The 27,015-nt window shown below is 37.6% G+C and overlaps 2 protein-coding genes across 6 annotated transcripts in view, besides 1 other annotated feature; one reads left to right on the forward strand and one right to left on the reverse strand.

Moving 5' to 3' along the window:
• ABCB7 (ATP binding cassette subfamily B member 7) overlaps positions 1-25,950 on the reverse strand; it is a 105,236-nt gene extending 79,286 nt beyond the window's left edge. For all 5 annotated transcript variants that reach the window (NM_001271698.3, NM_001271697.3, NM_001271696.3 and 2 more), the window contains exon 1: positions 25,772-25,950. In NM_001271698.3, coding sequence (NP_001258627.1) covers positions 25,772-25,939 — 168 coding nt within the window. In that variant the 5' untranslated portion in view covers positions 25,940-25,950. The remainder of the gene's footprint in view (positions 1-25,771) is intronic.
• Positions 25,631-26,060: an enhancer, noted in NCBI's record as "active region_29770". NCBI's record gives its function as "activates an Ori minimal core promoter by ATAC-STARR-seq in GM12878 lymphoblastoid cells {active_cell/tissue: GM12878}" and the evidence as "EXISTENCE:reporter gene assay evidence [ECO:0000049][PMID:35858748]".
• Positions 26,036-27,015, forward strand: part of UPRT (uracil phosphoribosyltransferase homolog) — a 148,529-nt gene continuing 147,549 nt past the window's right edge. Inside the window, exon 1 of the mRNA NM_001363821.1 lies at positions 26,036-26,217. The gene's annotated coding sequence lies outside the window, so the exon portion shown is untranslated. The remainder of the gene's footprint in view (positions 26,218-27,015) is intronic.

The raw sequence follows: 27,015 nt of genomic DNA on the forward strand, positions 1-27,015 counted from the left end.
CTCAATCAACTTTTCCAGAACTCTGGAATCTAATGAAAAACTAACAACAACCAGGGGAGTGTATAATGAAAAAAGAAGTTGCTAAATAAGTATCAGAAGAGAGTGTTATGACATTTGTGCTCACTCACATACCATCCTTCCATTCCCCAATGGGGATGGCAGCTTGCATTCTTGGTATAGCTTGCTGGTACCAGAGAAGGAAATATGGACTTGTTTTTGAAGAATTATGGTTATACTTTTTGACTTGTCTGGCAGCTCCCTGAAGGACTGGCTCAGGGGCTTATCTTGTACCTATCAGAACACTCTTGGGGCTGAAGTGGCTTTCCATAGGGTCCTCTGTTGAAAGCATATAAAGGCATATGCCTGGGTCAAGGGATAACAGATGGGCAAGCAACAAAAAGAGTTAAACTTAGCCTAGGAAGAAAGACCCTGGGAAAAGAGATACAAGGGAGAATCAGTACCTTGAAAAGAGAATGGAAATATTAGGTATGAAAAGTAATAATATAAATAAAGCAACACAAAAGTGTACATATTAACAACTATTTACTGAAGCAAAGGAAAAGAAAAAATCAAAATGGAGATAAAAATATTTACAAAAATAAAGAGATTCATTGTACAAAAATTAAAGATAAAATATTTCATACTGAAAGAGTCCACAGAGTGCCAAGAGAATAAGAAAAAACTACCTCCTAGACATATTGACAGTAAAATTTAAAAACATGTAAGTAAAATAATATATTCTAAATGAATCTCAAAAAAAACAAATAACTAAGAGTCACATAGACAAATGGGGACATAGAAAAAATAGAAAAGTTATTTTAAAAATTACAAATAACATGAAGTAAAAAGAAATCAGATGGACATCAGACTTCTTAAGAGTAATACTAGATGCAAAAAGAAAATGGAGTAGGATTTTCAAAGCATTGAAAGGAAAGAATGTTGAGCCTAGAGTTTTATATCCAACTTAATTGTGTTTCAAACATGATGGCATTCTTGGCACAGGTTTACATGGGTCTGTTCGGTTTGTAAAAAAATCATCAAGCTGTATACTTATATGTGCATTTCCTGCATATATACTTTAATAAATGGTTTAAAAAGCATATGATGGGGGAGATGGCAGGGCAGTGGACGTATATATAATTTTTTTAACTTCCCAAATTCTCACACTAACAACAGAATAACCAACAACAGAACCCGTGAACAACATTTACAACAAAATTAGGCTGAAACAAATCCCCTTCAGTCTCAAAGTGCAAACACATAGAAAGACTACACACAGACCGCCATTTTTGCTGCTGCTACAGCTCCCACCCCAATGCCCTCAAGCTCAGGAGAGAGCAAAGAGCTTAAGGACTATTATGAACCTCCAGCATAGCATAGCTGCCTTATGTAAAAGTGGCCAGTCTGTTCTCCACACAGGTCCCTGCCCCTACTACTCCTCACTGGGTAGGGCCCTCTGACCTGGGCCCACAGCACAACCACCCTGACACCACCTGAGCAGCTCTGCATCTCTCTGAGGAAGAAATCCCAGAGTCAACCCATATCCCTTCTGCCATTACAGCTACAGTAGTACCACCCTTACTGCTTTTGAGCTGGAGAAGGAAAAAAGAGCCTGGTCACTTCACTGATACCTCCGTGACACTGCAGCCACCATACAGAGGAGCCCAATTTCTCTTACCTGTGAGTCCCCACCCCTCCTCTTCACCAGGCAGGGCCCCGGGCTTGGGGCTGCGCGTAGCTTCCCCACACTTGGCTGAACATTCCCATTGTTAGTGGCTCTGTGTTTCTCTGGGGTGGAGTTTATCAGTGGCCACTGACAGCCCCTCAGCCTCTGCCACTGCTACTACAGTACTACCGGCCTTGCTGCCCTCGGACTGGGGAAGGAACAAAGATCCTGAGTGCTTCACTCACACATCCAGCATGCCACAGCTCTCCTATGAAGAAGAGGCCACAATGACTTCTCTGTGAGCCTCTGACCTCCTCTGCCCAGCACCAGGCAGGGAACTCTGGCTTGGGCCCGCAACACAGCCACTCCACATTAGGCTGATCGTTCTGACTGACAGCAGCTCTGCATTTGCCTGGGGCAGAGCCCCAAGGAACAAGCGAAAGGCCCTCTGCCATTGTCACTGCCAAGGTCGCCAACCCTGTTGACTCCAGCTGAAGAGGGAACAAAAAGCCTGAGCTCACCCCAGACTTGTGGAGCACAGCTCAGGAGTGCCAAACCAAGATCTACAGCCAGCACTCCAGTGGGAGAGGAGCCCACACTCTCAAAGCACTGAGAGGGAGCATGGCTGTAAATGCAAGGAAATACAGAGGAACTGCACAGCTGAGCAAAAGCCTACCTACCAGCCATTATACTTTAAGTATCATCTGGATTAAAGTCCAAACTTCAACACCAAAAATACCTTGCTAAAATACTCTGCTATGAAACCAAGAACAAGAATTCAGCCACGAATAAAGACCCTGCGGCAAGCCTCAGCCCTTTGAAAACGTCCAGAAACAAAGTCAATTACACCACAGTTAAAGGAACATCAGCCCACACAGATGAGAAAGAACCAGCACAACAACTCTGGCAACTCTAAAGGCCAGAGTTATCTCCTTACCTCCTAACTACCACACTAGCTCCCTAGCAATGGTTCTTAACCAGGAGGAAATGGCTGAAATTACAGACATAGAATTCAGAATTGGGACCACGATGAAGATCACCTAGATTCAGGAAAACGTTGAAACCCATTCTGAGGAATCCCAGGTATACAATAAAATGATTTAAGAGATGAAAGACAAAATAGCCATGTTAAGAAAGAACCAAAATGAGCTAAATAGCTGAAAAATTCTCTACAAGATTTCGAAACACAAGGGGGAGTATTAACAGCAGAATGAATCAAGCTGAGGAAAGAATCTCAAAGCTCAAAAACAGGTTCTTCAAATTAACTCAGTTACACAAAAATAAGAAATAATTTTTTCATGAACAAAATCTGGGAGAAATATGGTATTAAGTAAACAGACCAAATCTATGACTAATTGACATCCCTGAAAGACAGGGAGAGAAAGCAACTTAGAAAATATATTTGAGGATACTGTATGCAAAAATCTCCCCAACCTCACGAGAGGCTGACATACAAGTTCAGGAAATTCTGCGAGAATTCCTGTCAGTGTGAGATACAGTACAAAACAACCATCCTCAAGACACATAGTCATCAGATCCCCCAAGGTCGAAATGAAATAAAACATATTAAAGCAGCTAGAGAGATGGGGCAGGTCATCTACAAAGGGAACTCCATTAGGCTAACAGTGGACATTTCAGCAGAAACCCTAAAAGCCAGAAGAGACTGTGGAACTATATTCAGCATCTTTAAAGAAAAGAAATTCTAGCCAATAATTTAATATCCAGCCAAACTAAGCTTCGTAAGCAAAGGAGAAACAAAATCCTTTTCAGACAAGCAAATGTTAAGGGAATTCATTACCACCAGGCCTGCCTTAACAAGAGGCCCTTAAAGGAGTGCTAAACACGGAAACAAAAGACCATTACCAAAAACCACAAAACACACTCAAATACATAGACCATCAACACTATAAAGCAAATACATAATCAAGCCTACATAAAAATCAGCTAACAACACGATGACAGGATCAAATATGCACCTTAATTAATATTCACCTTAAATGTAAATGAGTTAAATGCTACACTTATAAGGCAAACAGTGGCAAGTTGCATAAAGAAACAAGACCAAACTGTATGCCATCTTCAGTGGACTCATGTCACATTCAAGGACACCCACAGGCTCAAAGTAAAGGGATGGAGAAAGATGAAGTAAACAAAAAACGAAAAGAGCAGGGCTTGCCATTCTTATTTCAGACAAAACTGACTTTAAACCAACAACAATCAAAAAGGACAAAGAAGGGCATTACATAATGATAGAGGGTTCAATTCAACAAGATATAACCATCCTAAATATATATGCACCTGACACTAGAGCACCCAGATTAATAAAAGAAGTTCCTAGAGACTTACAAAGAGATGTAGATAACCACACAATAATAGTGGGATGCTTCAACACCCCACTGGCAGTATTGGGCAGACTATTGAGGCAGAATACTAACGAAGATATTCGGGACTTAACCTCGCACTTGATCAAATAGACCTAACAGCCATCTACAGAACACTCCATGCAAGAACAATAGAATATACATTCTTCTCATGTGCATATGGCACATACTCTAAAATAGACCATATGCTTTACCATAAAGCAATTCTCAACAAATTCAAAAAAGCTGAAATTGTACCAACCACACTCTCAGACCACAGAAAAATAAAAATAAAAATCAATGCTAAGAAAATCACTCAATACTATAAAAGTACATGGAAATTAAACAATCTGCTCCTGAATGACTTCTTGGTAAATAATGAAATTAAGGCAGAAATCAGGAAATTCTTTTAAACTAATGCAAATAAAGATACAACATACCAGAATCTCTGAGACACAACTAACGCAGTGTTATGATGAAAACTTAGAGTGCTAAATGCCCACATCAAAAAGTTAGAAATATCTCAAGTTAACAACCTAACATCACATCTAAAGGAACCAGAAAAACAAGAGCAAACTAACATCAATGCTAGCAGAAGAGAAATAACCAAAATCGAGCTAAACTGAATAAAATGGAGATGAGAAAACTCATACCAAAGATCAACAAAAACAAAAGATGGTTCTTCAAAAGAATAAATAAGATTGATGGACCACTATCTAGACTAATAAAGAAAAAAGGGAGAAGATCCAAATAAACACAATCAGAAATGACAAAGGGGACATTACTGTCGACCCCGCAGATATTAAAAAAAAAAAACCCTCAGAGACTATTACAGACACCTCTATGCACACGAACTAGAAAACCCAGAAGACATGGATAAATTCCTAGAAACATACAACCTCCCAAGATTGAACCAGTAAGTAATTGAAGCCCTAAACAGATAAATGAGTTCCAAAACTGACACAGTAATAAAAAGCCTACCAACCAGGAAAAGCCCTGGAACAGACAGATTCACAGCCAAATTCTACCAGATGTATAAAGAAGAGCTGGTACCAATCCCATTCAAACAATTCAAAAAATAGAAGAGGAGCAACTGGTCCCTAACACATTCTATGAGGCCAGCACCAATCTGATACCAAAACCTGGCAGAGATACAACAACAACAAAAAAGAAAACTTCAGGCCAATATCCCCGACCAACATAGATTTAAAAATCATCAATGAAATACTAGCAAACCAAATCCAGCAGCACAACAAAAAGCTAATCCACCATGACCAAGCAGGCTTTATCCCTGAGATGTAAGTTTGGTTCAACATATAAAAATCAATAAATGTGATTCATCACCAGAAACAGAACTAAAAAGAAAAACCACATGATCATCTCAATAAACACACAAAAGAATTTTGACAGAGTTCAACATCCCTTCATGTTAAAAAACCATCAACAAACTAGGCATTGAAGGAAAATATCTCAAAGTAATGAGAGCCATCTAAGACAAACCCACAGCCAACAGCATACTGAGTTGGCAAAACCTGGAAACATACCTCTTGAGAACCAGAACAAGATGAAGATGTCACTCTCACCAGTCCTACTCAACATAGTCCTGGATTTTCTAGCCAGAGCAATCAGGCAAGAGAAAAAAAAAAAGGCATCCAAATAGGAAGAGAGGAAATCAATTTATCTCTCTTCACAGATGATATGATACTATCATATCATCTAGATATCACCTAGAAAACCTCATAGTCCTTGTTCAAAGACTCCTATATGTGATAAACAATTTCAGCAAAGTTTCAGGATACAAAATCAATGTACAAAAATCAGCAGCATTTATACACACTAATGATGTCCAAGCTGAGAGTCAAATCAAGAATAGAATCCCATTCACAATAGCAACAAAAAGAATATAATGCCTAAGAATACAGCTAACTAGGGATGTGAAAGGTCTCTACAATGAGGATTTCAACACTGCTAAAAGAAATCAGAGATGGCACAAACAAATGGAAAAATATCCCATGCTCATGGATATGAAGAATCAAAATTGTTAAAATCGCCATACTGCCCAAAGCAATTTAGATTCAATGCTATTCCTATTCAAACTACCAACGTTTTTCAAAGAATCTGAAAAAAACATTCTAAAATTAATTCGGAACCAAAAAGTAGCTCAAATAGCCAAAACAATCCTAAGCAAAAGCAAAAACAGAAACAAAAACAAAACAACAACAACAACAACAAAAAAGCTGGAGGCATGGAGGCATCACAATACTTGACTTCAAACTATACTACAAGGCTATAGTAACTAAAAAAGCATGGTACTGGTATAAAAACAGACAGACTGACCATTGGAACAGGTTAGAGGACCCAGAAATAAAGCTGCACACCAACAGCCATCTGATGTTCAACAAAGCCAACAGTAACAAGCAATGGGGAAAGGATTTTCTATTCAATAAATGCTGCTGGGGTAACTGGCCAGCCATATGCAGAAGATGAAAATGGGCCCCTATCTTTAACCATTGACAAATATAAATTCAACATCAATTAAAGACTTAAACGTAAAACCCAAAACTATAAACTCTGGAAGACAACCTAGGAAATACCATCTGGATATGGGACCTGGCAAAGACTTCAGGAGGAAGACACCAAAAGCAATTTTAACAAAAACAAAAATTGACAAATGGGACCTAATTACACTAAAGAGCTGCTGTACAGCAAAAGAAACAACCAACTGAGTAAATAGACAACCTACAGAATGGGGGGTAATATTTGCAAACTATGTATCCGACAAAGGTCTAATATCCAGTATCTATAAGGAACATAAACCAACAAGCATAAACCAACCAACCCCATTAAAAATGCGCAAAGGACATGAACAGACACTTCTCAAATGAAAACAAACACATGGCTAACAAGCATATTAACGAATACTCAACATCATTTATCATTAGAGAAATGCAAATCAAACCCACAATGAGATACCATCTCATACCAGTTGGGATGGCTATTACTAAAAAGTCAAAAAATGACAGATGTTAGCAAGGTTTTGGAGAAAAAGGACCATTTATATACAGTAGGTGGGAATGTAAATTAGTTCAGCCATTGTGGAAAGCATTCTGGAGATTTCTCAAAGAACTTAAAACAGAATTACCATTCGATCCAGCAATCTCATTACTGGGTATACACCCAAAGGAATATAAATCCTTCTACCATAAAGACACATGCCTGCATATGTTTGTGGCAGCACTATTCACAATAGCAAAGATATGTAATCAACCTAGATGCCCATCAATGGTGGACTGAATAAAGAAAATGTGGTACATACACACTATGGAATACCACATAGCCATAAAAAAATGATATCATGTCCTTTGCAGCAACATGGAGCTGGAGGCCATTATCCTAAGCTAACAGACGTAAAGAGAAAACCAAATATTGCATATTCTCATTTCTAAGTGAGAGCTGAACATTGAGTACACATGGACACTCAGAAGGGAACAATAGACACCAGAGCCTATTTGAGGGTAGACAATGGGAGGAGGGAGAGCATGGAACAACTATGTATTGGGTATTATGCTAATTACCTGGGTGACAAAATTATCTTTACACTAATCCCCTATGGCATGCAGTTTATCCATGTAACAAACCTGCTCATGTATCCCTTGAACCTAAAAGTTGGAAAGAAAAAAATAAAAACATCTTCTAAATGTTTGCTTACACACACACAAAAAATGCTCAATACCATTAGTCATTAGGAGAATGCAAATCAAAACCACAATAAAACATCACTTCGCATCCACCAGTATAACTAAAATTTAAAAAGATAGATGTTAACAAGTGTTGACAAGGATGTGGAGAAATTGCAACCCTCATACACACACACACACACACACACACACACACACACGTGTTCCAACAGAAGAAAAAAAGTATGTATTATGAAGCTGTTAGGTACATATTTATGTGTGTATACACACATGCATATTTATACATATACGTATGTACACACACACATACAAAATCAAGCCTGGCAACTGTATTGTTCAATCTGTATTTAATGGGTTTTGTTTTAGTTTTGACTGCTTTAAAATTTTTTTCTTTTTAATTAACTCCCAATAAAAGCTCTTCATAAAGATTTTCCCAAACCAGATACTAATATTGGAGGGAATGAAGAAACACCTTCTATATCACTTCACAGATATTAACAAGTAACTTGACATACAGAATAGCTTTTTAACTGGGATTCCTTTTTCATACATCTTTTACAATAGTAGTTCCCAAGCCTGAATATACATCAGAATCCACCAGAAGCTTTTAAAAAATATAGACTCTTGAACATTATCCCAGACTTGCTGAACAAGAATTTTCAGGGATATGAGGCCAGGCGCAGTGGCTCACGCCTGTAATCCCAGCACTTTGGGAACAGAGGTGGGTGGATCATGAGGTCAGGAGATCAGCACCATCCTGGCCAACATGGTGAAACCCTGTCTCTTCCAAAATACAAAAAATTAGCTGGGCGTGGTGGTATGCACCTGTAGTCCCAGCTACTCGGGAGGCTGAGGCAGGGGAATCGCTTGAACCCGGGAGGCAGAGATTGCAGTGAGCCGAGATAGAGCCACTGCACGTCAGCAGGGCGACAGAACGAGACTCTGCCTCAAAAAAAAAAAAAAAAAAAGGGATCTTCAGGGATGTGATACAGGGATCTGAAACTATTTTTAAGACCTTAAGGTAATTCTGATGCAGCTAGCTCAGCACCTAATCTCAGGTTCACATTTGTGAACCACTGCTGTATACCACTGATTAATCTTCCTAAAACACTTCAAACCCTTATTCCCTCTGCTCAAAATTATCTAATAGCTCCCTAATAACTCCAAACACCCTTGGAATGGTATTTAAGTTCTATGTTGATCTGACACCAATTGACCTTTTCAGTCATATCTCTCCCATCTCTATTTCATGAACACTTTATTCGAACTGATGTATTCACTAACCTTCAAACACACTTTGCACATTTGCTGACATGAGTTATCTTGCCTAGAATGTCTTCTCCCTTCTTCTTTCTCTAATCATCTCTCAAGATGTCAGTCAAAATTTACCACCTTCCTAAATCCTTTCCACATCACTCTCTTCTCCAAGCCTGAAGTAACTCTCTCATCTGAGAGTAGTACCTGTTTACAAAACTCACTGGTCAATCATGTAATCTCTTATATGGTTCTGAACTGTTCTTGAAGTCTTCTTTATTTTTATTTAGGTTTAAACTCACATTACATTTTATTGAATTATTCTATATACTCAATGAAGGCAGGTCACATGTCTTTGGATTCTTTATATCTGCCATGCCAAACTTCATAATGCTTCTCAGAGAAATGCTCATATAAACATTGATTTAACTTAATTCCTTTCCTCCTCAAATGATTCTCATAGATGTTATCTAGGCAGATTTCTACATATAAGCTTTTAATCTGTAAGTGTATAATCATACAGGCTAGTACAAAAGTTCTGCGTATTTTAATGCATTGTGAAGATGCCCTTAGTTTATAGAAAATATAATATGGATTAGACTGTCACAATATCAACTGTACATACACATATTAGCAATCAATTTGTATAGAATGTTTAAGACACATATGACCAAAGCTACAAAACTTTACCAAAGTACATAAAAGAAAATTTAAATGGAGAAAAATACTAGATTATATAATATGATGATATTGATGCTCCCCAAATTAATAGATTTAATGAAATCCAATAGAAATCTCTACAGGATTTTTAAAGGAGATCTTGACAAAACTATTTTAATAGCTCCTCTGGAAGAATAAACTAGTGAGACAAGCCAAGAAAATTTTGGAGACGAGGAGTAATGTAAGTGTGTTGGGAAGGAGAAACTTATTCTATCAGATATTACATTATATTGTAAAATAAATGGTGTGTGAAGCTGAGTGTGGTGGTGCATGCCTGTAGTTCAACTACTGGGGAGGCTGAGGCAGGAGGATACTTTGAGTTCAGGGGTTCAAGTCCATCGTGGGCAATACAGTGAAACCCTGTTTCTAATAAAGGAAACAGTGTGGTACTGACATATGGATAGGGAAATTAATGAGATCAAGTACCAAATATTGAAACAAATCCAAATATAAAGTTACTGTTTGACAAATTCTTCATATTAAAATCAGTATGGGAAAAAAGAGATCTTTACTTAATACCATACACTAAAATAAACCATTAATGGGGTAACAATTAAATATGATAAAATTAAACCTTAAAACAATGAAAAGAAGTGATATGACCATTTATCTACTCCCAGGATAAGAATGGATTTTCCATCTGGAAGGTCTCTGCTCTCCTTTATAGACAACCAGGATAAAAGGCTAGGACAGGATTGGGAGTGAAGGTTTCCTCCCACCTTCACTTTCTGACCTTGTTCTGATATGCTCTTTAATTTAAAGGCAGGATGTGAAAAGGACATGAAAAGACACTCAGAGTCAAAAATAAAATTAGAAGAGAATACAAACCAAGACCAAATGTTTCTCTCATCCTTTTATACCACCAAATCTCTCTATTCTTCTTAATTTTACCCATGAGAGTTGTGGAATGAAGTAGAAGTTCTATCACCAGGACATAATCTCATAAGGTTAAAAACAAAGACAAAAACCCTTAACTCTCATGTCTTCGGGATGAAAGTGGAGCACATGAGAGATGAGCTAAAGTCACCTCTTGTCAATATGTTGGCATTTTTTAATTTCATTTTTCTCTAAAAAAGATATCAATTCAGCATCTTTTAATTCTAAACCAAGCTTTGGAGACAGAAAGCAGCTCAGGTTCTGGCAGCTGCTTCGCTGAGAAACTTAAAGGCCACAGCAAAGAATAGACAATAATTGGGCTCAAACTACATATTTACTGTAACGTATTTCAGCATCACAAAAATGAAAGTTGGGTTCATTGTAGAAAATTTGGAAAATATAGAGAAGATGACAGAACATAACAGTCACCCATTATCCTACCATCCAGAGATAAACAATGTTTTTATATTTGGGTGTGCTTCTTTTTAAATCGCTGTTTCTTGCTTATGTTTTTTTTTAATATAATCATTTGGCCTACTGAATTTTTTAGACTGCTTTTTACACTGAATATTAGATCATATGCATTTTCCCCATCATTAAATATTGTTGAAAAACATCAGTTCCAAGATTGGTGAACTGATGGCTGAACCATAATTTATTTAACCAATCCCAGTGTCAGATACAAAAGCTGTTTTCAACTTTGAGCACTACAAATAACACAGTAAAGAGTATCTGTATATTAACTTATAAACATTTGTGCACTTTCCTGATTGTTTCCTTAAGACAGTTTCTTAGAAGTAGAATTGTTGGGTCAAAGAGGGTGAAATTTTTTTTAAGGTTTTTGATTCATTCTGACAAACCGCCCTCCAGAAAGGGGGCTGATTTCAGGGCCAGTGCAGGGAAAATATAAGATGAACCTGGAGCATTGTGTGATGCCAGAAAGTAAAGAAATGCTTGTAAAAAGATGAGGGCATGTCCAAACGAAACAGGAGCCAACCTAAAAGGATCTCCCAATAGCCCAAACCTGGAAAAACAGAGCAACAAAATATATAATTAATGTAATGGATTTTAACTCATAGAATATAATTAACATCTGTGGGTCCATCCTGGTATAAATAAATTAATGATTAAATGAGAGAGAAGGGACATCTCTTCCTTACAGAAAAATTCCAATTAACAAATGTAGAAGGAATGAGGGAAACAGAAAAACAGACAGTTGTCCCACAGTATCTGTGGGAGACTGGTTCCAGGAACCCCTATAGATACCACAATCCACAGATACTTAAGGCCCTTATATAAAATGGTGTAGTATTTATGTATAACTTATGCACATCCTCCTGTATACCTTAAATCATCTCTATATTACTTGTAGTACCTAATACAATGTAAATGCTATATAAATAGTTGTTATACTGTATTGTTTTAGAAATAATGACAAGGGAAAAAAGTCTGTAAATATTCAGTAGATGCTACCATCATTTTTTCTCCAAATATTTTAACCTGCAGTTGATTGAATCCACAGATGCGGAACCCATGGATATGGAGGGCCAACTGTAATTAGGCAAACACCATAGTAATAATTGCAGACAAGATCCACTGATGCATGCTAAAATTAGCTACTGAAAGTTTAGAAAGAAATATGATGTTTGCATACTTTCAAAGAATCTCCCCCCAAGGTGTTTTTAAATTAGCCTTTCCCCATTCATCCACCAGTCCAACATCTACCCACAAGACTTCAATATTCATCTATAAATTGTTCACCTGCAAAGTATTTCTTGACCTCCTTGGACTGAAGGTGGTTCCCCATCTCCGGGCTCATATAAAATCCTGCACGTCGCTCTACAAAAGCATTTACCACACCTTAAAGTATTGGTTTGCCTACCTGTTTTCTCCTTCAAACTGTGAATTCCTGGAGGGCAAGGCTGTTTCTTATTCACGGCTATAGCCCCGGTGCCTAGTAGAATGTCTGCCAAATGGCGGGTGCCCAATAAGTGTTTGTTAAAAGACTGGTAGCATGTTCTTTTTGTAAACATAGAGCTGTATTAGGTGGTGATAAACTCTAGAAACAGAATACAGTTTGATTTTACTGTTTTTACATATATGACCATACTCTAAGCTAGTAACATTTAAGAATTTGTTTCAAAGAGTTTTACAATAGGTTTATTTAAATAGATTTACTCTATTTATCAAAGCAATGGATTATGGAAGCACAAAGGGCTCTGTTTCCTTTTTAAAACTGAATGCTTTTAACAGCACCCAAATCACCTCTTGAATGCTTTGCTGCTTAGAAATTTCTTCTGCTAGATGCCCTAAATCATCTCTCTCAAGTTCAAAGATCCACGATTCTCTAGGGCAGGGGCAAAATGCCACCAGTCTCTTTGCTAAAACATACCAAGAGTCATCTCTGCTCCAGTCCCCAATAAGTTCCTCATTTCCGTCTGAGATCACCTCAGCCTGCATTTCATTGTCCATTATCATTATCAGCATTTTGGTCAAAGTCATTCAACAAGTCTCGAGGGAGTTCCAAACCTTCCCACATTTTCCTGTCTTCTTCTGAGCCCTCCAAACTGTTCCAACCTCTGCCTGGTACCCAGTGCCAAAGTCACTTCCAAATTTTCAGTTATCTTTTCAGCAGTGCCCCACTCTACCAGTACCAATTTACTGTATTAGTCCATTTTCACACTGCTGATAAAGACATACCCGAGACTGGGAAGAAAAAGAGGTTTAATGGACTTACAGTTCTATATGGTGGAGGAGGCTTCACAATCATGGCAGAAGGCAAGGAGGAGCAAGACACGTCTCACATTGATGATGGTAGGCAAAGAGAGCTTGTGTAGGGATACTCTCCCTTATAAAACCATCAGATCTCGTAAGACTTATTCACTATCACGAGAACAGCACAAAAAAAGACTTGTCCCCAAAATTCAATCACCTCCCACAACATGTGGGAATTGTGGGAGTTATAATTCAAGATGAGATTTAGGTGGGGACACAGCCAAACCATATCAGATGGGTAAGAAAATTTTTATTCAAATACCCATTTATAGTCTAAAAACACTGAGACTGAGATAAAATAACTAAGATAAGGTAACACTCTCCTGCTTCAAAGCCCTGTCTTCTTTCCATGATACAAGAATACTTGGTGACAAATCTTGACAATGCTACCTCATGACAGGCAATGCAGGCACTTATCACTTCTCTCCTATATTACTTCAATATTCTCTTAATTAATGTCCCTATCTCCAATCCTTGCCTATTTCTAATCTTTCCCTCAAACTGCACCCAGAATCACAGCCCTAAAACAAATTTGATAATGTCACTCCCTACTTAAAATTACTTTCTAGAATGGCCATGTACAAGAAAACTTTCAGTGATGACAGAAATATTCTGTGTGGTGAAATATAATAGCTACTTAGCCACATGTGGCTATTGAGCACTTGAATTATGTCTAGTATGACTAAGTTACTAAATCTTTAATTTAATTTTAATTGCAATTTAAATAGCTACATATGGCTAGTATCTACTATATTAGAGAGTAAAGCTCTAATCAATAGGGAGCCTTTTTTCTAATCCTGGTGAAAACCACTAAATAAATAGGTAGAAGCAAGAAAAAGTAAAATTTTAAAGCATTTTGTAAACTAAAACACTATAAAAATATTAGCTGGTATTATTAAAAGTATAGGTTATACTGACCTATTAGCATAGCTGCTTTTTTTTTTTTTGGCTTTTCTGTATTTTCTAATCTTTCAGTAGTGGGTTTGTACTGTTTTTGTAATTTTTTTTAATATAAAAACTTGATTTTGAAAAAAAGAAACCTAAGTATAAATAGCTCTTTATTAGGCAGAATCAAATATGCAGAATCAAATATGCACAGCAAGAGGAGAAACCACTGAAATGAATAGGAAACACTAGGACTCAATTTCCAAAGAATCTCCCAATTCCGCAATGAAGTAACAACCAAAAACTGGTTACATTTAAAAGCAGCAAATACTTCCAGGAATGCTTTATAAATGCATTAAAGACTTTTTTATTCTGGGATGGGGTGCTGGCCATCTCAGATATTGGTGTCTTCTCTATGTCCCACAAGCAGGAGTGATCGCTCAGAGTATGGGAGGATCTCCATGAACCAGGAAGAAATTGAATCCCTGAACAGACCAATAATGAGTTCTTTACTTGAGGCAGTAATAAACAGCCTACCAACCACAAAAAGCCCACGACGAGACAGATTCACAGCTGAATTCTACCAAATGTACAAAGAGCTGGTACCATTCATACTGAAACTATTCCAAAAAATTGAGAAGGAACTCCTCCCTAACTCATTCTGAGACCAGCATCATCCTCATACCAAAACTTGGCAGAGACACAACACCAAAAAAAACTTCAGGCCAATATCCTTAATGAACACTAACGCAAAAATCCTCAACAAAATACTGGCAAACCAAATCCATCAGCACATCAAAAAGCTTATCCACCACAATCAAGTAGGCTTTATCCCCAGGACTCAAGGTTGGTTCAACACACCCAAATCAATAAATGTGATTCATCACATAAACAGAAGTAAAGACAAAAACCACATGATTATCTCAATAGATACAGAAAAGGCTTTCAATAAAATTCAACATCTATTCATGTTAAAAACTCTCAATAAACTAGATATTGAAGGAACATACCTCAAAATATGAAGAGCCGTATGTGACAAACCCACAGCCAACATCACAACATCATACTGAATGAGGAAAAGCTGGAAGCATTCCCCTGACAACCAGCACAAGACAAGGATGCCCTCTCTCACCACTCCTATTCAACACAGTATTGGAAGTTCTGGCCAGGGCAATCAGGTAAGAGAAAGAAATACAGGGCATCCAAATAGGAAGAGAAGAAGTCAAACTATCCCTGTTGGCAGATGGCATGATCCTGTATCTAGAAAACTCCATAGTGTCAGCCCAAAAGCTTTTTAATCTGATAAACAACTTCAGCAAAGTCTCAGGACACAAAATCAATGTGCAAAAATCACTAGCAGTGAGTCAAGGCCGGCTCTAAAAAAATAAAAATTAAAATAAAAAGATAAAAAAATAAAAACAAAAATCACTAGCATTCCTATACACCGACAACCATCAAGCCAAGCACCAATGAGGAACAAACTTTCATTTACAATTGCCACAGAGAAAATAAAATACCTAGGAATACAGCTAACTATAAGGAGGTGAAAGATCTCTACAAGGAGAACTACAAACCGCTAATCAAAGAAATCAGAGATGACACAAACAAATGGAAAAACATTTCATGCTCATGGATAGGAAGAATCAATATAGTCAGAATGGTCATACTGCCCAAAGCAATTTATAGATTCAATGCTACTCCTATTAAATGTCAATGGTAATTGACATTGTTCACAGAACTAGAGACAACTATTTTAAAATCCAAATGGAAACAAAAAAGAATCCAAATAGCCAAGGCAATCCTAAGAAAAAAGAATGAAGCTGGAGGTATCACATTACCTGATTTCAAACTATACTACAAGGCTACAGTAACCAAAACCGCATGGTACTGGTACAAAAACAGACACACAGACCAATGGAACAGAATAGAGACTCCAGAAATAAGGCCTAACACCTACAACCATATCATCTTCAACAAACCTGACAAAAACAAGCAATGGGGAAAGGAGTCCTTATTCAATAAATGGTGCTGGGATAACTGGCTAGCCACAGGCCGAAGATTGAAACTGGAGCCTTCCTTATACCATAAACAAAAATTAACTCAAGATGGATTAAAGACTTACATGTAAAATCCAAAAGTATAAAAACCATGGAAGACAACCTAAGTAATACCATTCAGGACAGAGACACGGGAAAAGATTTCATGACAAAAACAACAAAAGCAACTGCAACAAAAGTAAAAATTGACAAATGAGGTCTAATTAAACTAAAGAACTTCTGCATAGCAAAAGAAACTGTCAACAGAGTAAGCAGACAACCTATAGAATGGGAGAAAATTTTTGCAAATTATGCGTCCAACAAAGCTCTAATAATATCCAGCATCTATAAGGAACTTAAACAAATTTACAAGAAAAAAAAACATAAAGTGGACAAAGTATATGAAAAAAACACTTTTCCAAAGAAGACATACATGCAGCCAACAAGCACACAAAAAAAAAAATGCTCAACATCACTAATCATTAGAGAAATGCAAATCAAAATCACAACAAAACACCACCTAACACCAGTCAGAATGGCTAGTATTAAAAAGTCAAAAAATAACAGATGCTGGTGAGGTTATGAAGAAAAAGGAACACTTATATGCACTGTTGGTGGGAGTGTAAATTAGTTCAACTACTGTGGAGAGCAGTGTGGCAATTCCTCAAAGAATGAAAAACAGAATTACCATTTGACCCAGCAATCCTATTACTGGGTATGTACCCCAAGGAATATAAATCATTCTATTATAAAGACACATGCATGCGTATGTTCATTGCAGTACCATTCACAATAGCAAACACATGGAATCAACCTAAATGCCTATCAATGACAGACTAGATAAAGAAAATGTGGTACAAATATATCATGGAATACTATGCAGCCATAAAAAAGAACAAAATCACGTCCTTTGCAGTGACATGGCTGGAGCTGGAGGCCATTATCCTTAGCAAATTAACACAGGAACAGAAAACTAAGTACTACATGTTCTCACTTACAAGTAGGAGCTAAATGATGAGAACACATAGACACATACAAGGAAACAACACACACTGGGGCCTATCAGAGGGTGGAAGGTGGAAGAAGGGAGAGGATCAGAAAAAATAACTAATGGCTACTAGGCTTAATACCTGGGTGATAAAATAATTTGTACAACAAACCTCCATGACATAAGTTTACCTATGTAACAAACCTGCACATGTACTCCTGAACTTAAAATAAAAGTTACAAGGCCAGGCGTGGTGGCTCAGGCCTGTAATCCCAGCACTTTGGAAGGCCGAGGTGGGCGGATCACCTGAGGTCAGGAGTTCGAGACTAGCCTGGCCAACATGGCGAAACCCTATCTCTACTAAAAATACAAAAATTAGCCAGGTGTGGTGGTGTGCGCCTGTAATCCCAGCTACTTGGGAGGCTGAGGCAGGAGAATCGCTTGAACCTGGGAGGCAGAGGTGGCAGTGAGCCAAGATTGTGCCACTGCATTCCAACCTGGGTGACAGAGCACAACTCCATCGCAAAAAAATAAAAAATAAAAAATAAACAAATAAAATAAAAGTTACAGAGATGATAAAATGCATTACTACTAGCAGACAAAACAAATTGGACTTCAAATAAATGAACATAATATAACCTACTCAAAAAGGTCAGTTCATCAATTGAAAAGCTTAAACATGAAATATTTTTCTCATTGTAAAAACAAGTACAGTATATCAAACTATGTCTGTGTATCCATAATAGCAAATTAAATTTTTTTTGTTTGTTTTTTAGCATCCCAAACCCCCCCCCAACCCCCGAGGTAACCACTTTTACCAGACTGGAGTATATCTTTCCAATTTTCTATGTATTTGCATATACATACACACACATACAAACACATACACACATTGTTATGGTCTGAACTGTGTACTCCCCACCCCCACAAATTTATATGTTGAAGTCCTAACCTCTAATACTTCAGAATGTGACTATATTTGGAAACAGGGCCCTTAAAGAGGTAATTAAAGTTCAATGAGGTCATTAAGGTGGGCCTTAATCCAATATGACCAGTATACTTCTAAGAAGAGGATATCAGGACACAGACACAAACAGTGGAAAAGACAGTGTGAAGACAGAGGTATAAGATGGCCATCTACATGCCAAGGAGAGAGACCTCAGAAGAAATCAACTCTACTGACACCTTCATCTTGGACTTCATGGGTTCCAGAACTGTGAGAAAATACATTTCTGTTGTATAAGCCACCCAATCTGTGGTGTTATGGCAAACGTAGCAGGCAAGCACACATGTACATGCACAGTTATTAAGTCACTACAGTCAGAGTAGTTGAAGAAAGAGTTCATACTTAGCAAACATTCATGCACTCAAAAATATGAATATATTACAATATTATAGTATAAGTTACTCAAGATCAGTAAAAACAATTTTATAAGTAAACCAAAATCGAAGCTTCACCTTGTCTTTTTCTAATATGCTTTGAAAAGCAGAAGTTTAAAAGTTGCTCTCCCAAAACATCAGCACCTAAGGAACTATACCCTTAGGATGCGGTTTCCCTACTTTAATATCCATCCCTCTCTAGATATTGTAAAGAAAACTTAATCAGAGGACTAATGAACATCCCAAAATACAGTGTGCAGTTAAAATTTCTACAAACAGCAAATTTTTATATCTTATTCCTCAAAGAATGTTATCCTGTAAGTCACTTTATCTTAGCAAATGATGCTCACAAATAAAGTAACTCAAAAATTTTAGGATAAAAAGTAAGTGTGCTTTGGTTATTGAACTAAAACTGACAACAATCAGTGATGCTACTCCACCACGGTACCATATGCCTAATGACAGAAATGCAACGGACAAACTTATGAGGTTGCCCTGAAGAAAGTTAGCTTTCAATTCCAAATGTATAGCAGTGGAGCAAATATTATTAATTATTATGTTAGATTTTTGCTTTGGTTTGGTTATAGAGTTTAATCATTCATTTTACATATATTTTCTGATTACCTATTACATGTAACATACCGTGCCTAGCTCTGTGGAAGATAAAAACAAAAAGATGATTGGAATATATTAGCATTTTAGGCACATAAAATCTTATCTCCTCCACAAGATACATAACTACTTGTAGGAAAAAGTGTTGTAGGAGTTCAGAGGAGGGAGAAATCAAAGTCTTATTAGCTTATAAGGAATGGTTTCAGGGAACGGACTGACCTTTGAACTAACATTTGAAAAATAGGCACCAGTTAGAGAGAGGGCATTTCAGACATAGGGTGTGGCATAAAAAAAAGAACAGACACAAAAAAGCACATGGTCCAAGGAACAGGGAACAATATAGGGTGACTGGAGGGACAGGGTATTTGTAGAGAAACAGTTTACAATATGGCTAGCAATCTAGTTAGGTGGAAATTTTTAAGGCTAAGATATAAAGCCCACTGAAGTTTATGCAGGGAAGTGATGGGATAAAAGTCATGCCTTAGGAAGAATAATCTAGATGTGCTGTATAGGATGGATTGAAAGGGCAAGTCCCTGAAAGCAGGGACAAAACCCATGCATAAAGTAATAAGGGTCTAAAACTAGGGCAGAAGTTAAGGGACTGAAAAGGACAGAAGAGGCCATTGCTACTACAAAGAAATGTTCATCTACCTAACCGGATTACTGTGAAGACCAAATGACATTAAATAAAGACTTGAAAAGTATCTTTACTCACTAGTGGCAAATCCTACAAGGGAGTCAAGAGAGCACAGATGAGGACTTCAGGGAGATGGATTTCAGGAAAGGAAGGAGAAAATCAAAACAACAAAAATATCACATTTTGCAGGTAACTATATATACCTATTAACATTACTAAAATCTTAAGTAATTAAAAGACCTAATTTTGGTCAAGACTGAGCACCAAGAAAAAAAATGCTCACAAGTAAAAACAGAATTTAAAATTATCCCAATAATGTAAAAATTATGTACATGAAAGAACAGAGATTCAAAGGAAAAAGGAAAAATTATTTAACATGTGGGATTGTAGATATCTGTCTTGACGTTTTTATTAGATGTGGTTTTGTATAATTAAAATGGGGACAATGTAAAGCATAAGAATCGTATACAGAATGGGCAATTTTATCTCTTATTATATACCTTATTTTACAATATGGGAAAGAACATACTTTTCTTTGAAAAAGCAAAATCTTTAAGATAACACTGACAACAATACAGCAATAAATGATATTAATTTTATAACAATTGTATAACAATAATTAAATGATCAATTATGCATTTATCATTTAATCAAAATTTTGATGTAAGTTTCCACTCTATTTCTACCCCGCTGCCCAGTGACAAGTGCTCTTTATCTTGCCACTGGCTACTCAGGAACACCATTAGAAACCCACCAGCCAGCAATATTGTATTAATCAGGGATTACTGACTGGAAGAGGGGATAGGTTTCTGATTCCCCTGAAATTGCATGCAAAATGAAGCACATACGTATGTATATTTTTCTAGGGAGAAGGTCTATGGCTTTGATCAGATTCTCAAAGGGCCTCGTGTTCTAAAAGAAAGTTTAGAAACATGAAATTTTCTTCCTCTTCCTAATAATCTTAATAACTAGTTAAAACCAATGTGTCAATGACTTAGAGAATGTTATTTATTCAACTATATCTGAAAAAAGAATCCCCTGAATTCCTCTTCTCAAGTCCCAGTGCCACTTTCCATTCCTTACCATATACAGCCCATGTAAGGTATATCTTTATTTACAACTTTTATAGCATTACTGTTATTCTTCACCACCCCTTAGAATCTATTTCTACCATCCCAGATGATTTCGGAACCTAGCTTACTTTTTCCTCCACACTACTTCCATCCTCCCAACACTACCAAATACTAAGCTCATAATTAAATTACATTTTTCTATTCCTACTCTTAGATATACAAATATGACAAGAACAATACAAATTTGTCCCATTAAAAATTCATGTGAACATAAACTTACCCTATGTTGCTCCTGAATACTACACCAGTAGTAAACTAGGATCACAAAGTAGAGGTACTATATAAAAAGGGCTGGTCCTAAAGGATTACAGTAAAGAAACAAGAGAGTTGCAAGAAACCTTAGAGATCTGGTAGTCAAATATTACTAGTTTACAGGATCTGATGTCCAAAAGAACAAGTTATGTGTCCAAGATAATTAACAGTACAAATAGAGCTCAGGCGGTCAAGTGTCCTGGTCCAGTGTTCATCCCACAATACCAAGTTATGCCCTTTGCACACCAGTTATTTCATTATTTTTAACATTTAGAAATAAAAATCTTTTAAGTCATCTGTATTTTCTTTACAGTAAGGCTTACTCCTACCTCAAGACCTCTTAATAGTATTCAATATCATTCCTTCCAAGCTTACTGTGTGAGAACAATGTAGGGGACAATTAAAAGCCGTGTTGAAATCAAGATAGACTGTCACTCACTCATATGAATAATTGGTTTGGTATGTCTTGCTCTTTTCAAAACCAAGCTGGCTGCTTCCTAACAGCTCGTATTTTTCTAATGACAGCAAATTATTGTTTAATAATTTTAAAAGTCTTTATTGGTCTCCTAATAAAAGGACTATGCTTTTAACATTTGTGTCCCCCTAAAATTCCTATATTGAAACTTAATCACCAATGTGATGGTATTAAAAGGTGGAGTCATTGGGAGGTGATTAGGACTTGGAGAGTAGAGCTCTCATAAACAGGATTAGTTCCCTTATAAGAGGGGCCAAAGAGCTGCCTTGTCTCTTCTACCACATGAGGACACAGCTAAAAGGCACCGCCTATGAACCTCAAGACCTCACCAGACACTAAATCTGTCAGCACCTTGAACTGTGAGAAATAAATTGCTCTTGCTTATAAGTCATGTAGTTTATGGTATTTTGTTATACCAGCCCAAACAGACTAAGATAGACTATTAGTCTAAGAAATTATTTCTCATATGCACATTAAATCCCTCTTCCTGCAAATGAAGTCCACATCTTTGTATCATAACCTAATGTTCCAGTTAAGTTTAGGCATCACTGAACTACAAATAACCCCTTCAGGTCCTTTTTTTTTTTTCTTTTTTTTGAGAGGAAGTCTCGCTCTGTCGCCCAGGCTGGAGTACAGTGGCGCGATCTCGGCTCACTGCAACCTCCGCCTCCAGGGTTCAAGCAATTCTCCTGTCTCAGTCTCCTGAGTAGCTGTAGTCACAGGTGCACGTGACCATGCCCAGCTGCTTTTTGTATTTTTAGTATGGACGGGGTTTCACCATATTGGTCAGGCTGGTCTCGAGCTCTTGACCTCAGGTGATCCACCTGCCTTGGCCTCCTAAAGTGTTAGGATTACAGGCATGAGCCACTGGGCCAGGCCGCTTCAGGTACTTTAAATGTCACTGAATCACCTCTCACCCTTTTCAGTTCCATGATCTATAATCCACTTAAAGACACCCTTATTTCTCTTGTAAGTTCTGTTTTTGTTGTTGTTGTTTGTTTGTTTGCTTGTTTTTGAGACGGAGTCTTGCTCTGTCGCCCAGGCTGGAGTGCACTGGCGCGATCTTAGCTCACTGCAAGCTCCGCCTCCCGGGTTCACGCCATTCTCCTGCCTCAGCCTCCCGAATAGCTGGGACTACAGGAGCCCGCCACCATGCCCGGCTAATTTTTTTTGTATTTTTAGTACAGACGAGGTTTCACCATGTTAGCCAGGATGAATAAGTTCTGTTTTCTATTCTTTTAGTATATTTTGGGACGACTGTTGAATAATCACTGTAGTTTCTTCATAGGCATCTTATATTGTTAAATTTAAATATGAACTAGAACCTCTAAAATATAGAATAGGAGGATTATTTCCCTAGTGTTGTTATTATATTCCCACTTCAGTTAATATGAAAGCCAGGAGTAAAGTATTTTAATTTTTATCTACTCTGCTAACTCTTAGCAGCCAATGGTGGAAGAGTAGGAAGGTGGAACTTGCTACTGGGAGAAATTAAAGCTCCCATTCTTGGTCCATGAGGTCAGACCAACAAATGAAAACAAAACAGTACCTATCCAAAAGAACTACCATATTCCACAACCCAGGTCTAGGGCATATACTGGGTGAGAAATACTTACAATGAATTCCAGTAATCACATACATGTGGGACTGTGTGTGTGTGTGTGTGCGTGTGTGTGTGTGTATATATATATATAAAATATATATGTGTGTGTGTATATACACATAAAAGTTCATGAAACAATACTTCACTTAAGATGTAAAAAGCACTGCTATTTTCTTTATATTCTACTGAATTTCATCTAAAAAAGTGCTAATCCAACCCACTAACATTATTTCATAACACTGCTCTAAGGTTCCTTTCAGCTCTAAAATATTATGCTATATACTAATGATCGTCCTAAAAGTATGAATTCAGTAATTATTTTGTAATCTTAATCACAAGTCACAAATTTGCAGGTACCTCAGGTTACCTCAGCTTCTACTTTGAAAACTTTGTAATCATTCCTTTCTCACCCTGTTTTAAAAAAAGGATGGCAAGAGTTCCATGCCTTTAAGAAACAGAAAACAAAGGTAACATCTTTCCCTTGTTTTGCACACTGAGGAAATGGTAACTAAAGGAAATGGTAGGATGTAAAGGACAGAGTGGAAGAAGGAAGTTGTGGAGATAGCGTTCATGGAAAGAGAGAAAGCTAAATTTGTATTGCCATTGCCTCCTCTGAGATTCCTAATAACTTCTCCTTTTCCCTCTTCCCCCTCATTCTTCCAGCTTAAGAAATTTTATCTTAAGATATCTAATTTTATCTAAGATAACATTTACAAATTTTATCTTAACTTCATCTGCCTTATTGGAGAACTACAGAACAAAAACCATTCCCAAGAGATCATGTGTTAGAAACTTTCAACCATAAAATACTTTAAAAACCTTAATGAAATCATCTAGATTCGCTTCGTTAGCCTAATCTGCTATTTCCTATCTTGAATGACTCACTACAGTCTAAACTACGTGCAGTTCTAGAAAAGGTCCATGTTCTCTCTGACTTGTGGGCCTTTGCACATGCGATTCCTTCTTTAACTGGCTAACTTCTAATTTTTCAGCTCTTGCCTTAGATATCAGTTACTTAAGGCAATCTTCACTACCTTACAATTAGACTTAATACCCCTCACATATACTGTCCCATACCTTGTACCTTTCCCATTATTACACAGCTCCACTATATTTTAATTGCCGATTAATTTACATATTTCCCACTAGATTTTAAGCTCTTTAAAGACAGGACTTATATTTTGTTTGCTCCTGTAGAGGTGTTCAATAATTACTGAATGAATTATAAATGTCATTCCATCAGCCTTCCACATGCTTAGTGTCATTCCCTATTCTCCCTGTTCAGAACATTCTCCCCAGTTCTATCACCAGCATGAAATACTCTTTATAACCTGGTCCTTAATTATCACTATTTCCTCTGGATGCCTATAGCCTTTATTGTACATACTATTCATTTGCTAATTAACCCACCACTGTGTTTTTCAGTTATTTTTGTAATGCATAGATCCAATCTCCTTAACTAAACTGTACAATCCTTGAAGGCATAACTGTATGTCTCTCTTAGTACCCTATCATCTAGCACAGGGCTATGTACAAGGTAGACGTTAAATATTTGTAGATGAAGAATCAAAATTTAAGAGGTTGTTTCTCATACAAAACTGACAATATTTTAAAGTGATAGTGATAAATACGTGGTGGCAATTAAACCTCTTGTCAATACACAGAAAATAAAAAGATATACTTTAGTACAGTTAAGTACAAATAATTTTTTAAAAAACCGTTCCTGAGTGAGAGGTAATAATGGACTCAAATTTTAGGAGGCACTACAACCATAGCTACATTCATAAGTTAAGGATAAGTAGCCTATGGCTTCCAAAATGACCTGTGCACAGAGAACATCACTGTATTTTTCAGATCTAGGACAGTCATATTTATACAAGAATTTAGGGCGGTCTATGTTTTGGAAAGATAGTTACGGTTTTGGCCTATCAAGAAGCACGCCTGTCAGCAAGGGAGTTAACTGGCGCCACCTGTTTATAGATAGCTTGCTGTCATTACAGTGCTCTCCGAATTGCTAATTCCAACTGAGTAAAATCTGAACCACAGATAAACTGTCCCAAATTCCATTACTAATTGGGGAAAATAATCCAGTCTTCCTCGTCTTTAGAAAGGCAAGCAGGCTGGGAATGGTGTCTACCCCAACTCTTAATATGAGAGAAAAACTATGACTCCGAGAGCCTCCAGCGCTCCAGGTGTCCTCTGCCCAGAACCTCCTGCCCCGTTTCCCTTTGCTGAACTCAAAGGTTTTCTTCTTCGCCCTTTCCTCAAATTACTGACGTTAATTTCCTTCACTTACTGCTGCTCCCAGTTAGCCATGACTTTCTTCTTGGTGCTCTCTCTGCCCCGAGGTCAGGAGGGCAACCTTTTCCCTACAGGTCCCCTTGCCCTTCACCCTATTCTTCCATGTCAGTGGCATCTCACCTGGTAGGCTCGAGCGGTTCCCAAGGCGCCGAGTTGATGTGGCCTCCACTGCGGACCTGAGCCGCTAACAGAGACTAAAGGCCGGATCAGAATCGCGGAGTGCCGGCGCTTTTCGAAAGCAGCCGCCGCGGCCGCCCAGCGCCAAGAATGCATCGCGAGCAGCGCCATCTTGAGCGAGGAAAGAGGAACCGAGAGAAGAGGATTATGGGACACTGGCGGACTGAATTCGGCTACCTTAATTGTCTCTCCTCTTCTTGTTTTCCCAGGGCCCCAGACCGGAAATGGATTCTGTTTGAAGATTCGGATGCATTCGCACAGCCTCTTTTATTTGTTTTTCCTTAGGGCCGAGCTTTGATTGTTTTCCTTACACAACCGGGAATATTGGAGTAACACTGTATTTTTCTCTTTTCCTGGAGTTGCCAGATGAAATACAGGATGCCTACCTAGTTAAGTTTCAATTTTACATAAACAACGAATCATCTCTTCGTGCGTGTGTCCCAAATATTGTATCTGCTAAATCTGTCAACCCCATCTTGTCTCTCATAATACTCTCTTACCTCCTCCAACTCAATGTCACGCTCCCCTCTCTCCATTTTCCCTATGCATATTCTTATCTTCACTCCCTTCTGAATTAAGGAAAGATTAAACTACAGACGTTAATTTCCCCTGGGAGGAGGCTTCAGCTGTAAGATTTACTGCTTTTCTGTCCTGTAAGGACTTTAACTTTGCTGATTGTTCTCTGTTGCGCAAACCTTGGGGCAGTTTTCCTTTGGTCTGTTGCTCGTGGGACAGTCTCACACACACACACACACACACACACACAGAGAGACTACAGACATCTTTACTAATTTTGTCACTCTTTCTAGCTCTTCGCTTTGGTTTTTGCAGCGTCCCTAATTCTTGAAAAATCGCTTAGGTTGGCTGAAGGGTGGTAAAGTGAAATGTATGGAGAGAAGACCATGTTTAAAGACAGGCTTATATTCTTTTGTCACCACTATTATCAAACAAAATGTCAAAATATGTTTACAGTTATCTAGGAAACTGCATTTCCAGTTGTAAATGTTACCTGAAACCCCGGAGACAATAATGCAGTTGCAATTTTATATTCACTGCTGCATTCTCCAACTTTTCACACAAAAGAGACAAATAATTATGGACTTCTTATGAAGAGGTACTTTGGACTAGTAAGTCTGATAAAGAAAAACAGAAATCTGTAGCCCATGCAGTTAGCTTTTTTGTTCTGG

The sequence above is a fragment of the Homo sapiens genome, chromosome X (assembly GCF_000001405.40).
Source record: "Homo sapiens chromosome X, GRCh38.p14 Primary Assembly".
Lineage (NCBI taxonomy): Eukaryota > Metazoa > Chordata > Mammalia > Primates > Hominidae > Homo > Homo sapiens.